Genomic DNA, 14,911 nt, shown 5'->3' on the forward strand with positions numbered 1-14,911 from the left:
CCATAGGTGAGGATCTGCATCATGTGGGCAGTACAGCTATGCTGCTCAAGAAGAATAGAGACCCAAATGTCCCATCAGTCCGGGGATGTGTTTCAACATGGTGACATCCCAAGAGTCTCCCAAAGAAAATATTTACGGAGTTTTACCTTTCCATGGATTTTAAACACATACTTAAAAAGCCAAAATATGTGAAAAGATTGATTTAAAAATGGTTGACCAAATTTCAGTCAGCCTGAAAGCTTTTATACTGTTTCTCTTCTCTTTATTGCAAGCTATTAATTGAATTAGCTCTACCCCACCCCCTCTTTCTTTTTTTTACAGTTTGTGGGGTTTTTTTCTGCCCTCCGACTTTTAAACCTCAACTTTCTTAAAAAATTAAAACGGCTTTCTTCAGGTCCTCCAGTTACTTCCTTCTATTAAAGATGTTTTCCCTTAGTTCTTAACCTCATAGGCACCTACCATTAGACCAGTTCACCACTCCCTCTTTCCTGAGACGTTCCCTTCCTTAACACTTTCCTACACTGTCCTCTCTTCGTTCACTTCAATCCTTGCTGTCCTCTGTTCCTTCTTAAGTTCTTTCCCTCCCACTCTCTAACAAACTGAGTTTCCACCCCATACCTCACATTTAGCAAGTTCCATCACTGCTTAACAAGCCTCACTTCTCTCCTAGCTCAAAGTTTCTCCTTCCAGCCGATATTCCTAAATCTACAGCTCCCACCACACCCAACTTACGTTCTGTGTTAACCTGGCCATTTCCGTTTGGGGATTTGGCCTATTTTATATGGAGGGCAAATAAAATCCCTTTTCACTTTGTGATTCCCCAGCTCCTGACAGCCAATTACCTCATGTTTAAACTCTCTTTTTAAATAGTCTGTTCTCACCTACCCAAACCATAATTCCTCATGACATACTGTCACTTCTCTTAGCCTGTAGTCTAAGGTCTGACTACAGGCTTTTGCTCCTGTCTCTCCTTGCTAACAGTGGTGGTACAAATAAACAAGGCAGGAATCATTTCCCACTTCCTCTGGCAAAACTTCCTCAAACACTTTCGTGTACTTTGAGCTCTCCTTTCCCTAGCATTTACAGGCCACATCACAAAATTAGAATTTCACAGCACCTTTTCATTCTTACCTATTATTAGTTTCATTCTAGTGTGCTGGGCTTCTCTTCCTGAGTAGACTATATCTGCTCCTTGAAGGTAGAAAGCAGAATTTGTACCCCCTTTCTTAATAGCTCCAGTAGCACTCAACACACTGCTAGTCTAAGCAGGCACGTCCTGTAGCATGCACTTTGGGGCCCACCTAAACATATTCTGCCTACACTAGCTTCTTCATGTATTGTTATCCCTTTGAGCTTTATATGCTTTTTGTACATTGCCGCAAATACTGTTTGGAAAATAAATGAGGAAAAGGCAACAAACATACATGTTGCTAGGTATAGAGCAGGTATGTTGTGAATATTAAATTCTGAAAATTATTTTTATTTCTATTAAAGAAAAGGGGACAATGAATGGTCTATGCACCCCACACACAGGAACATGAAATTTTCCTGTTAAGCCAGTCTTTTCTCAGAGAAACACAGATACATTATTATGATGTGGGCCTAAAGAGGCCCAGTGACCATCTCGGCTCACACACTGAGAATGATGGTGAACCATATTTTTCTACTCTACTCTCAACCACTTAGATTCTGAGTTAAGAGGAGAGAGAAGTTTGCTGACTGTGGAAACGTACAAAGTCCTATTTAAATGGGCGGGAGGGAAATAAAAGGAGTTCATGTTGCAGGGAGCCTTAGTGGTGTGATTGTAGCACTGACTGCTGGGGGTTGGAGGTACTCAACCACATTGTTGCACTGAATGAACACTTTGGAAAATCCAAATGGGCATTGTTTTACCAACCACAAAAAATCATGGGAGCAGCAAATAGATTTCATCCAATAACTAGGATATCAACAAGGCATTTGCAGATTCTAGGAATAAACTACAGCATTAGAATCATAATTTTTAGGTGGGACTCTTTCTTTCTAAGCATGTAAAACTACTGGTTAAATCTTCATCAATTTACATAAGCCTATGCACTTCCTAAATGGGATCAATAACTCCACTCAGGAAAAAAATCCTTTAAAAACTGCCTACCTACCTTTGTGCATTAAATATATTCAGATAAAATTTATTAAGTGTTTTGGCTTTACTGAAGTTTCTGAGTTTGAGGCAGGGTAAGTTTCTCATCACTCAAATAAGTTAATCTCCCTTCTCAAATTCTGTTAAAGTTCAAGAGAATTGAATGGGGATAGATCATGCCTGGGCCTATGTGACAGAGAGTGAGAGAAGAAGAACCAACGAGAACCAGTGCTTTCCATCATCATCTTTTTGAACTTTTAAACAAAATCAGAAAATAGCTATAATTAAGCTAACACTTTTTCTGATCTTTTAACATTAATACATTTTAATACAACTTCAACTGTTTTCACCACTTCTACCATTCACTCTGAAATCCTTTTAACAGGAATGAGTCTGGCTGTTTGGCTCACTCACAATTTTTCTTTTAACAATTATTAACATTAACATATTTTAAAACAACTGTTTTCTACTTCTATTATTCATTCCTATTATTAACCAAGAAAACATTGAACTCCCTTCTAATGAGAATAATTCTTCTAGCACTTGGCTCACTTTCCCTCCACTCTTCAATCCCATTTTGTCTTACACATTTTGGCAGTCTAAATCCCTCTTGTAATTTGACGTTTTTACCTTCCAGTTCTCACAATATCATGTCTAATTTACAAACTAATTTGACTTAGAATCATTAACCTTATCTTTTATGTTCTAAACCTTTATTTCTCAAAAGTGCTTTTGATCATTTTTAAACCTGTGCGATGTCCTATAATGTGATTTGCAGCTTTAGAGTTTGTTGATAAATGAAGGTTCTCGAGGTATTGAAGTATCTTCTGCCAGCCTTCCAGGAAAAAAGTTTGTCTGATCGGGCATAATGTTTCTGGAAATCACACAATTTATCAGAGCTATCTGTAAATTTTTCTCCTAAATTCTTACCTATAAAAGCCCAGGGTAATATTTAAGGCCACTCTTAGCCTCAGATTGTAAAATTGTGTATCTCCTTTATCTACTTTTGTCTTTAGAATATAAGAACTTTACCAGTGGTTATATGAGGAAAGGCAAAGTGATTAGGGTTTGTTTTGTTGTTGTTGTTTGGTTGGTTGATTGTTTTTTTGTTTTATTTGTATTTTGTTTGTTTTCCAAGAATGCTCAAAAGAGCCACATGACATCATGAAAAAAAATATAGGTTTTAGAATCTGGCCAGTCTGCACTAGAATTCCAGCTTTGTTACCTTTTAGTTGCATGACTTAGACAAGTTACTAAATGGAGCCCCATCTTCATCTCAGCAAGTTTTGTGGAAGCCTGAAATACGTTCAAAGCACCTGGTACACAGTTGGGTTCAAGCTGTATGGATATGAGCTATTATCTGTGTGACCCTGAGCAAGTCACTTAAGTGAGATCTCAATGGCTTAACATTTCCATATATTAAAAAAGGTAATAAAAAAGTAAGAAATAAGAGTATTTCGTGGACTAGTTATAAGATTAAATAAGTTTAATATAGTACAGTGCTTAGAACCATGCCTTTCATATGGTGAGCCCTACCTGTTTTAAGCTATCATTATCACTATCTTTATTAATTATTATTAGCACTCTCCCTGGGATATGCTGAAGTCTCTCCAAATTCATTTCCATCTGGAGTGATATTCTTTAAAGCTGGGCAAGACTGAGCAAAAGACACCAGGATGCTGCCTTTCTTAAAAGGATATTCCGTTTAGGGGTTAAAAAAAAAAAGCTTAAAATCAGATAGGCATAGGTTCAAATCCCAGCTCTACTTAGACTAGCTCATAGGGTTGTTGTATTTTACTCTACTTTACTCCTTACAATAACTGTATTAAATAGGTACTTTGATTATCCCCAACATATAGCAGAATAGACTGAGGCTGAGAGAGGCTCCACAGTTCACTGCATGGCCAGGCATCCTTTTGGGTGTTCCCAAACCAAGGCAACACCACCTAGGTGTAGTTGGGGGTCCCATGCTCCTAAGAGCATGGCAGGTGCTCATTTTCTCTGAGCCACAATGGAAGTCCTTTAATCTGGGATATCTGTGCCCCTCTCTGCTCTGTAGTTTTCTTTCTCCACTTTTGCTGTCATTCTTGGTTTTGCCAACCCATAGTGGAATTTGATTTTATCTTGGTTTTTTGTGTTGTGTTTTGTTTTGTTTTGTTTGTTTTTTGACATGGAGTCTCACTCTGTAACCCAGGCTGGACTGCAGTGGCACAATCTTGGCTCACTGCAACCTCCGCCTTCCAGGTTCAAGCAATTCTTCTGCCTCAGCCTCTTGTGTAGCTGGACTACACACGCCCCGCACCACCACACCTGGCTAATTTTTGTATTTTTAGTATAGACAGGGTTTCACCATATTGGCCAGGCTGGTCTCAAACTCCTGACCTCGTGATCCACCCACCTCGGACTCCCAAAGTTCTGGGATTACAGGCATGAATCACCATGCCCAGCCCATCTTGGTATGTTTTAACTCAGAGATGGAGCTACCTTGTTCAATCTGCTGTAGCCACAGGATATTCCTCTACTGCCTTGTGATTGTTAGGAAACCCAACAGAAGAGCCACAGCCACACATGTGCGTGCTTTTGTTCAATATCATGAAAACTCAAGAGAAAATCATGTCTATATCATTAGCATTTTATGACTTTTAAAAGAAAGAAAGATCTGAAGCAATGGCAAATTGTTAACATCTATTCAATATGGGTGGTAGGCAAATGGTATGTTGTTATTCCCCGTGCTTCTCTGTGAGTCTGCAATATTCCATTAATTAAGCAAAAATAATTGTAAATTGAAAAGAGCGTATCACTTTACAAGGCACAAACGAAATAAGGCTTTCCTTATAGGGTTACTACTCACAGAAGGAAAATACTTGTTGCATATTGGAAAACAAGTAAACGCAGCCAAGTACTTAAATGCATAATTACCCCATAGCAGATTAGTTATTGCTGGGTATTTTTCTCAAGGTCTTAAATATACATGTATCTAGCTCTCTGATTTGGGACTTGATGGTCAAGCCTTTCAGAGGTCATTCTCCACAGTTAAAGGACTGGCTATAGAATGGATGAAAAGGCATGGGGCCAAGTCTGGTGTTCACCAGGAGAAGCTGAATGACCATATGTCAGGAGGCCATACAGAGTGACATTTGTCACCTTGGGGAATTATAGCCCCTCCCTCTCCCAGGCTAAGAAGCATGTTGATCAGCCTCCTGAGAGGGATTTCTTGTCTCAAGAGCAGACTTACTTTAACCAAGCTTACAAGACTGATGAATAAAATCAGAATGCCAGTATATTGTTCTACAATGAGAAATCTGTCATGGAGGTGGCATACTGAATTCCTACAGGGAAACCTACATTGAAAATCAAATTATAATCACAAGTTTGCATGACTAGCACAGCACGAAAAAAGAGAAATTTAAGCTACCTCTCCTAAATATTAATAAATATTAATAAATATTAATATTAATTAATTAATAATTGATTAATAATTAATCAAGCTATAATAGCCCAATGCATTCATCTCCATATATGGGAAAGATCTGCCAATAGGAACAACACACAAAAAACTCCACTGACCAAAATTCTCTCTCCTCTAGTTGGTACCTAATGGACACTGCCAAAGTTTGCCCCTGGGACTCTCATATTTCTATGCTTTAATAGCCATCAAACCCCTCTTTGAATTGAGACTTTCTTTCATTAAATGTGCTGGTAAACTCAATCATACAACAGGTCTTATAGGCCACATATCACCTACAGAAACTACTCTACCAGTTTTCTATCTTAGAGCTTATAAAAGATTCCAGGTAGCAACTTACACAGAGTCATAGAAGAATAAGATCTTTATGAAGGCCCATGATGTAATTCATGAAGTTGTTCACCACTGTAGCTTACAACAGTGCCAGTCACTTAGTAGACATTCCATAAATATTCCTTACATCAATGAAAAAAATCCTCACTTAAACTGTTCAGTACAAGCCTAAAGCCCACACATGTAATCATTCTGTAAATACAATCATTCAGGACCTGGGAACTTTATCTTTTGTTTTTTTTTCCTTTCGAGATGGAGTCTCCCTCTGTCACCCAGGCTGGAGTGAGTGCAATGGTGCGATCTTGGCTCACTGCAACCTCCACCTCCTGGGTTCAAGCGGTTCTCCTGCCTCAGCCTCCCGAGTAGCTGGGACTACAGGCGCCCACCATCATGCCTAACTTTTGTATTTTTAATAGAGACAGGGTTTCACCATATTGGCCAGGCTGGTCTCGAACCCCTGACCTTGTGATCTGCCCACCTTGGCCTCCCAAACTAGTGTTGGGACTACAGGCATGAGTCACTGTGCCCGGCCTCTCTCTCTCTCTCTCTCTCTCTCTCTCTCTCTCTCTCTCTCTCTCTCTCTCTCTCTCTATATATATATATATATATATATATATATATATATATATACACACACACACACACACACACACACACACACACTATACATATACGCATATATATATGTGTGTGTGTATATATATGTGTGTGTGTGTTTTTAACTTCTGGGACACGTGCAGAATGTGCAGGTTTGTTACATAGGTATACACGTGCCATGGTGGTTTGCTGCACCCATCAGCCCGTCATCTACATTAGGTATTTCTCCTAATGCTATCCCTCCCCTAGCTCCCTAGGCCCTGACAGGCTCTGCTGTGTGATGTTCCTCTCCCTGAGTCCATGTATTCTCATTGTTCGACTCCCACTTAAGAGTGACAACATGCAGTGTTTGGTTTTCTGTTCCTGTGTTAGTTTGCTGAGAATGATGGTTTCCAACTTCATCCACATCCTTGCAAAGGACATGAACTCATTCTTTTTTATAGGTGCATAGCATTCCATGGTGTATATGTGCCACATTTTCTTTATCCAGTCTATGCCCAAATCATGGGCATTTAGGTTGGTTCCAGGTCCTTGCTATTGAGAACAGTGTTGCAATAAACATACATGTGCATGTGTCTTTATAGTAAAATTATTTATAATCCTTTGGGTATATACCCAGTAATGGGATTGCTGGGTCAAATAGTATTTCTGGTTCTAGATCCCTGAGGAATTGCCACACTGTCTTCCAGAATGGTGGGAGTGGAACTTTATCTTACATATATTTTTCCACATTCAGCCTGAGTTGCTTAGAGAAAATCCCTCAAATGCCATTCATCAACCACTAGCTAACGTCACTACATCCATCACTAAGTGCTACCAAAAAGGTCCATTTTCATATTATTCCTATGGATTCTACTAACCAAATGGGTACCAAAATGAGCTAAACATCAATTCTTGAGAAAGAAGAGATTTTATCATCTTCCCATGACAATAAGCATACCAACTACTCTTAGTGGGAGAGAAATATGTTTGTAAACATTACTAAGATCTGTATTTATGGAAATATATGTCACCTTGCTGTCAAAATGGGCCAATGAAGAAAGTTTTTGGTGAAGTCATAAAGTTCTAGAAGACATGCATCCCACTGTCTTTAGGTAAGACCTATCCTAGTACGTATGTGTTATGTGTGTTTCACTTACCGCATACTGGAACTTTTCATTATATTCACGGTCATTGGCTTTCACTATCCGTTCCACTTCTAAAGAGAGAGAAATCAAGTATGAAATTAAATTGTAGGCCCAGAGAAACAAATAACTCATTAAAACAACAAGACTTAGGTTGCTTTGTTGTTAAGGCTGCAAGAATTCTTTTCTTTCAAATTTGAAGGTATTGGCTTTTTCCAGTGTACATGTTGGAACATGTGTTGTAAAGTCCCAAAATGGAAAGCTACAATGTTTCTCATTGTCCTCCTGATGCCAACCATAAAGCAAAACATTATGTGTCTCCAATTTCTATGTATCTTCAGCACCACAAAGACCCTTTCTCTTAACTTCAAGTGGTTCCTAAGAGAAGGAGCTGACAAAGTCAAATGCATCCTGGCAAGGAATGCTTTGTGGGGTTTGTTGCTACAAAGTCACAAAATATAACATAGCCAAAAATAAACCATACAGAACTGGCCAGTGAGGTCACTGACCTTATGGTCTTAGAACCAAAGGTGATATCTGTAAGCAGCCCAGGCATATTAAGAGGAATGACACATAATCAGGAGACTGAGAGCTGCCCTTAGCTGGAAGTGACCAAAGAATAAAATCTCTTCTGAAAGCAAATGCAAACACCAGTACAAATAATAATATAAAAAGGACAATAAACCTAAAGATTATGACAGTGCAGAATAAAAATTTGCAGAGGGCAAGATAAGACAGTGCCCCAGAAACACCGGCAGAACAAGTTTAGTAGTAAGGGTAGCAAGCTCTTGCTCCATGTTTACTGAAGAGGTACTTCCAGAGTTGACCAAAGATTTAGGATGGAATGATGAAAGCTATGAGAAAAGAGTCAGCAAGGTAACCACCAGATGTCAATGCTGGATTCTCATGGCGAGTGACTTGACCCTCTCACCATTAAATTCCCTTAATCCCATAATTCTCCAACTGGGTAGGTGACAGGTGGTAAAAGGTGGAGGGATTGCAGTAAGAGTCTGAGTTTAGAGAAGGCACTTACAACCAGAGATAAAGGAGACTGGATGGTGGAAAGTAACTTGGAGACACGTGTTGGGGATGGAGGAGGGAAGAGCAAAAGAAAAGTGAAAAGAAGAGCTGGAAGCAGAAGGGAGATGAGGAAAATGAGGGAGATGAAGAGGGAGAGAAGGAAGGAAGGAATATATTTCAGCACCCACCTCTTGCATGCCAGGCACCATGAATTGTAAGAACAAATTTTTTCCAAAAGTGCAGGCAGAATCTCTCTGTAGCCCTGGTGGTTCAACTCCCAAGACTGAAGGTCACCTCTAAGGACTGCTCCTGACAAATGACACTCTGTCTTTGGTTATGACTGGGTTTCTACCATTTGCAGGGTGTTTTGTCTGTCCAGTAACCACCTGCATGGTTTCCCTCTTGCCTATCTAATAAAGCCAGGTCTCTGTGATGGTTCCTGTTTTCTAGTCCGGCTCAACTAACTGCTGATAAGAACAATATTGGACTGGTGTCAACAGTTGATGATACCTAAATGGGTTTGCTCCTAACCTATAACTTTGAAATCCAGAATCCACCAGGAAGCAACCTCTCAACCACCCACCCACCTGAAGGAAACACCTCAAACCCTGGCTAAAAAGCACCATCCTGTCTTTCTTGCTGATGCCCCAACAAAGAATTAAAACATCAAATCCCAAAGTGGTACTTTGAAAGGTGTGGGAACCTAAATGCTTAAAAAGCTAGAAACTTATTTATATAACATCACCATAACCCAGAAGTAGTAAAATTGCTGACAGGAAAGCAAAAAAATGTTACTGGGATGGTAGGAGCGAGGGCTCTTCCTGCATGGCAAAAGGTTAACCTGGACCACTGGTATGCTGCATGTAATTAATAGATTATAGCAGCAAAACAAAAATCAGATATATTAATTATATATTAATTGGCTTTAGCTTGTTTCATATACATTCAGATGATGATCCTTCTAAAATTTCACATTTATATGAAGCACATCCAAGAGTAGAATTCTATAGTTCTGTACCTAATTTTACCCACTCCAAACACCAGAATCTTGACTCTGTGAGCCACACAGAAACCATCCTGGGCTGGGTGCGGTGGCTCACGCCTGTAATCCCAGCACTTTGGGAGGCTGAAGCAGGCGGATCACAAGGTCAAGGGATCGAGACCATCCTGGCCAACATGGTGAAACCTCATCTCTACTAAAAATACAAAAATTAGCTGGGCGTGGTGGCACATGCCTATAGTCCCAGCTACTTGGGAGGCTGAGGCAGGAAAATCACTTGAACCTGGGAGGTGGAGGTTGCAGTGAGCCAAGATTACACCACTGCACCCCAGCCTGGCGACAGAGCAAGACTCCATCTCAAAAAAAAAAGAAAAAAGAAAAAAAAGAAACCATCCTGTCCAGCATCTCCATGTAACCACACTCCACAAGGATAGGGACTAGCCCATTCCCAAAGCAGCCAAGTAGTTTCTATGGTAGGTCAGTTTGGATCTTCTTTCAGGTATCCAAATTGCTCTCATCCCCCAAAACCTGATTAGAGCCAGGAAGCCCACTTTTGTTTCTAAATCCTTCTTAATAAGTCTTAATCGTTGTGTCTGTTACTTCTACTAATTATCATCTTTCTGAACTAAGTCTTCCTGGATTAATTCTGGCAGAAAATTTAGCATCCCTTCATTAAGTTCTGCAAAATACTGGCTTTGGTTCTAAATTGCTACAGTTTTCTGTCTTTAACCTGACTATGCTACACCTGAATTATCTTTGCAGGAATTAACTTTCTTCTCTGTGCTACCACAGTGTATGAGGGGATATAAAGACCTTTTGGCAATAAATCACATCCTGGAAAAAAAGGACGCTGAAAACAAATCCCCCATAACTATTCCCATTGAGAACGGCTCAGAGGTTCAATGACCTAATGCCTGATACTTCATAGGCATCATGGGATCCTTCCATATGTAAGAGGAATGAAAGGAAACTAGTCACCAAGGGGTTGATGATTTACCAGTGTGAACTCACACCTGCACAATTATCACTGAATTTGTCCAGTTCCAAAAAGGAGTAAGGCAATATATAAGGATGTATAAAATATAGTAAGCCAGCATGTTTAAAGTGGACTAAAAGAGCTAAAAGAGCTTCTGGTTTAAGATAGCAAGTTGAGTCTGTCTTTTTCCTCCCTTCTTTCTCAGGTCCCTCTGAAATTACAGAAAACATTTTTTAAGATTGAAAACATAACAGTGCTGGAAAACAAGAGTAGTGGCTAGCAGAGGTTCATAAATTTTGAAGAAAGCCTAGAGAATAAAATAGAAAGCAGATGAGATCATTTTGACTGGGAGAAAAAAGATAGAAATAACTCTAGCCAAAAGAATTAGAGAGTGATCTTCCCAATGAGCCCAGAGCAGCTCTAAATTCAGAGTCAGTAAATATGAAGATTGAGAGTATGTTATGGACAGGGTGACAGGCCCAGGTTATGCCTATTATCTTGTCAAAATAATTGATAGGTTCCCCTTTTATTCTCAAAAGTGTCTCCATTTGATGATAAATTATATTACCACCTTAGAGTAATTAAAAAAATAACTGAACCAGTTGGGATCTCCCACACCCCCTTCTTTGCCCACAAAGAGAGCAGACAACACGTCAGGGAAGGAAACCAAGGGTGGGTATTCAGGCCTGAGAAGGAAGAGCTCTGCCCCTCTACAGCAGCTATAGCCAACTTGGCCCCTAGTAAAGCCTGCCTGACTGGGGCCATTGTGGGATTTGCCAGACTGCCTGACTAACACACACAGAAAAGCCTCTGTCAGCAGGCTGCTCACTCCTGTTCAAAGGAGAGGCCTGGCAGAGAAAAAGACCCTGGCGATGGCACTAATCTATCTAGTCCTTTATTTATAAATACAAACCAGTAACAGCTGAGAAAAACCAAGAGCACAAAAAAGAGGGATCCAACAGGAAGAAATAATGCTGAATACAGGTAGAAAAAGGGGATTGGTTTCTCTTTTTAATTCTGATTAGTGCCTTGAATATATATACATAGATATATAGGTTTTTTAGAGATGCTCTTTTTTTTTTTGACATTGTGCCACTGCATACCACTCTGTCACCCAGGCTGGTATGCAGTGGCACAATTGTAGTTCACTGCAGTCTCGAACTCCTGGGTTCAAACCGTCCTCTCACCACAACCTCCTGAATAGCTGGGACTGCAAGCATGAGCCACCATACCCAGCACCTCAAAGATATTTAAGAAGACATGGCATCCATGAAACAAGAACAAGCTAATATAAACAAAGAAAACAGAGAACAAGAAAAAGTCCCTAGAAATTAAAAATATTAACTGGACACACTGGAGAGTAGAATGGACAAGACGAAAGAACAGATTGGATAAATCTCACAAAATATATATCAAAATGACAAACAGGAGGAAAATGTGAAAAAAAAAACTTAGGATAAGGGAACATAGACAATGGATAGGTAAAAACAATCAAGTAAATAGAAGAAAACTGCCCTGCTCCAGAGTAAGATGTAACTCTTCAAAGTGAAAGGGCCACCAAGTACCAATCAGGATGAATGAAAATGAACCCACAAACCTTCATAAAATTTTGAGCTCCAAGGACAAGCAGATAATCCCAAAAACTTCCAAAAGAAAAAAAAATGGTTAGCCTGAAACATAAGAATCAGACCAATATGACATTTCTCATCAGCAATAAGGATGCTAGAAGACATTGGAGTGATTATTTTCAGTTTTAAAGAAAAATATTTTGAAACTTAGAATTCTATACCGAGCCAAATAATCAAGTGTGAAGGGGAAATAAAGACATCTCTGCAAAAGTGTTTACAGACAACGACCATCTACAAAACAGCTACTCAAGAATGTACAACAGTAAGACCTACTATTTGACAGCAAACCAGGTGACTATAGTCAATAATAACTTAATTGTACACTTAAAAATAACTAAAAGTATAATTGGATTGTTTCTAATACAAAGGAAAATGTTTGAGGGGATGGATACCCCATTTTACATGACATGATTATTATATACTCCATGTCTGTACCAAAATATCTAATGTATAACCCATAAATAGATATACCTACTATGTACTCACAAAAATTAAAATAAAAAATTTTACAAAAAAGAATGTACAACAGGAAAAATACTTGTTTAAATGTTTAAAGTACAGTAGGGTGGAAGAAGACACAGAAGGAAGAATGATAATCAACCAGAGTCAAGAATGATAATAAAAATAGCTAATCCAATGACCCACACACCTGATCCAGGTGTGCCACAAATGCCACAGAATAAAGGAATGCTTGTCTATTGCCATTTATTTTACAAAGTCTGTGAGGTAATAAAGTCAATTTATCAGTAAAAGTACAATTATTAGTAGTTCTGGTAGGTAATAATAAATCAATTTCTCAGGAAAAGTACAATTACTAGTAATTCTTGCCTCAGGCATTAATTTACCTTAGAAATCCTCATAAGGAAGTCATTGTTTGATATAAAGAACATAAAATAAGGTTTTTGTAACAACCCTAAGGATATTATCTCAGGACACAATTCAGAGGGGTCTATGATGGGGTCTCTGTACTCATTCTCTGTTGATCTGATTAAATCCAGGAATATATTTTGGGATATTTGAATGAATGCATAAGCTATGTGTTCGTTGACTAATCATTCTTATTTCTATCAACTTCACTGTAATAAATACTATGTGACCATGAACTTGAGATTGAACTTCCTGGAACATACCTGGAATGCTGCTACACCGTATTGCTGGCTGAGTACAAGACCCGAAAGAAGATCAAGTTGGTAATAGCATTTGCATCATTTTTTGACACCTGAGGAGCCTAACAGAAACATGTGCCTGGATAGGAAGGAAGCCATCCTTTGTCATTCTAGTGATCCAAGATAACAGCCATCAGCAGAGGCAGAAATCTCTTAGACATTTGTTTTGAATCTGCTCCAGAATATAGAAAAATAGATAAGTAAGCCTTCAAAGTGCTACTCCATATAGGATGACGATAATAACCTTAAATCCCCCAAAATCATAAAATCCAATATAATTTGATGCCTTCCTCAACCAAATAGGATAGCAATTAAGCACTCATTGGATGCTTGTCTTTGAGCCATGTACTTCCAGTTATATTCTCCAAGATAATTAAATGAGAATACCTCATTTATTTTAGGAAGTAAACATTTATAAATCAGTTAAATATTAGGGAACATTTATCAAAAAGAATAACCCAGTTTCAGAATAATTAATCTATAGCTCCCTACTTCCCTGCAAAAAAAGAATTATCTCATAGGGCTGATGGTTTGTTAAAGTCGCTCCTGGTTTATGATTAAAAACAAAACTATATCCACTTATGCTTGTCTTTCCATTTGGAAAGGAAAGATACAGACAGAACATCCAAAAGTGTAATCAGATCACTAAGAAACAAGTTTAAAAGATGAGAGGGACATAATACTATCTTGCTAGAATTTTTTTTTTTAATAAGTAGAGACAGGGTCTCACTATGTTGCTTAGGCTGGTCCCGAACTCCTGGCCTCAAACAATCCTCCCACCTTGGCCTCCTAAAGTGCTGGAATTACAGGCATGAACCACCATGTCTGGCCCCCTGCTAGAAATTTTTAAGTTCAATTAAGGTGTTGTTCCCCTGTTAGGAAGATTTTTAGGACCCATAAAAATGAGAGTTTAATGAAAGAGTCCTCATGGGCCGGGCGCAGTGGCTCACGCCTGTAATCCCAGCACTTTGGGAGGCCGAGGCAGGCGGATCATGATGTCAGGAGATCGAGACCATCCTGGCTAACATGGTGAAACCCCATCTCTACGAAAAATACAAAAAATTAGCCAGGCGTGGTGGCGGGCACCTCTAGTCCCAGCTACTATGGAGGCTGAGGCAGGAGAATGGCGAGAACCCGGGAGGCGGAGCTTGCAGTGAGCCGAGATCACGCCACTGCACTCCAGCCTGGGGGACAGAGCGAGACTACGTCTCAAGAAAAAAAAAAAAAAAGAGTCCTCATAAAAGAAAAAGACGCTTGGACCTTGAGACAACAAGAGCCAATGATCCTTCTGCAAGTACCTATACAAGCACATTTTAACTCATACCTCTCCTTACTTATGGTTTCTCAGTAAAATAATGCCACTGTGTGTTATAATCATTTAATGAGGAAATATATGGAAAATACATTGTAAACAGAAAAATACCAGAAAAATCCTTTTTTAAAAAACTGAAAAATAGTAAATGGGCAAAAAAGGAAATCACT

The 14,911-nt window shown here is 39.1% G+C and overlaps 1 protein-coding gene across 37 annotated transcripts in view; it reads right to left on the reverse strand.

The window, feature by feature from the left end:
- The window catches only part of ATP8B4 (ATPase phospholipid transporting 8B4 (putative)), a 323,617-nt gene that overhangs the window by 208,235 nt on the left and 100,471 nt on the right, over positions 1-14,911 (reverse strand). For all 37 annotated transcript variants that reach the window (NR_073597.2, NR_073596.2, NR_073598.2 and 34 more), the window contains one exon: positions 7,655-7,713. Coding sequence is in view for 33 of the 37 variants with exons in the window: in XM_011522056.4 (XP_011520358.3) it covers positions 7,655-7,713 (59 nt within the window). In the remaining 4 variants the exon portion in view is untranslated. The remainder of the gene's footprint in view (positions 1-7,654; positions 7,714-14,911) is intronic.

The sequence above is a fragment of the Homo sapiens genome, chromosome 15 (genome assembly GCF_000001405.40).
Source record: "Homo sapiens chromosome 15, GRCh38.p14 Primary Assembly".
In the NCBI taxonomy this organism is placed as follows: domain Eukaryota; kingdom Metazoa; phylum Chordata; class Mammalia; order Primates; family Hominidae; genus Homo; species Homo sapiens.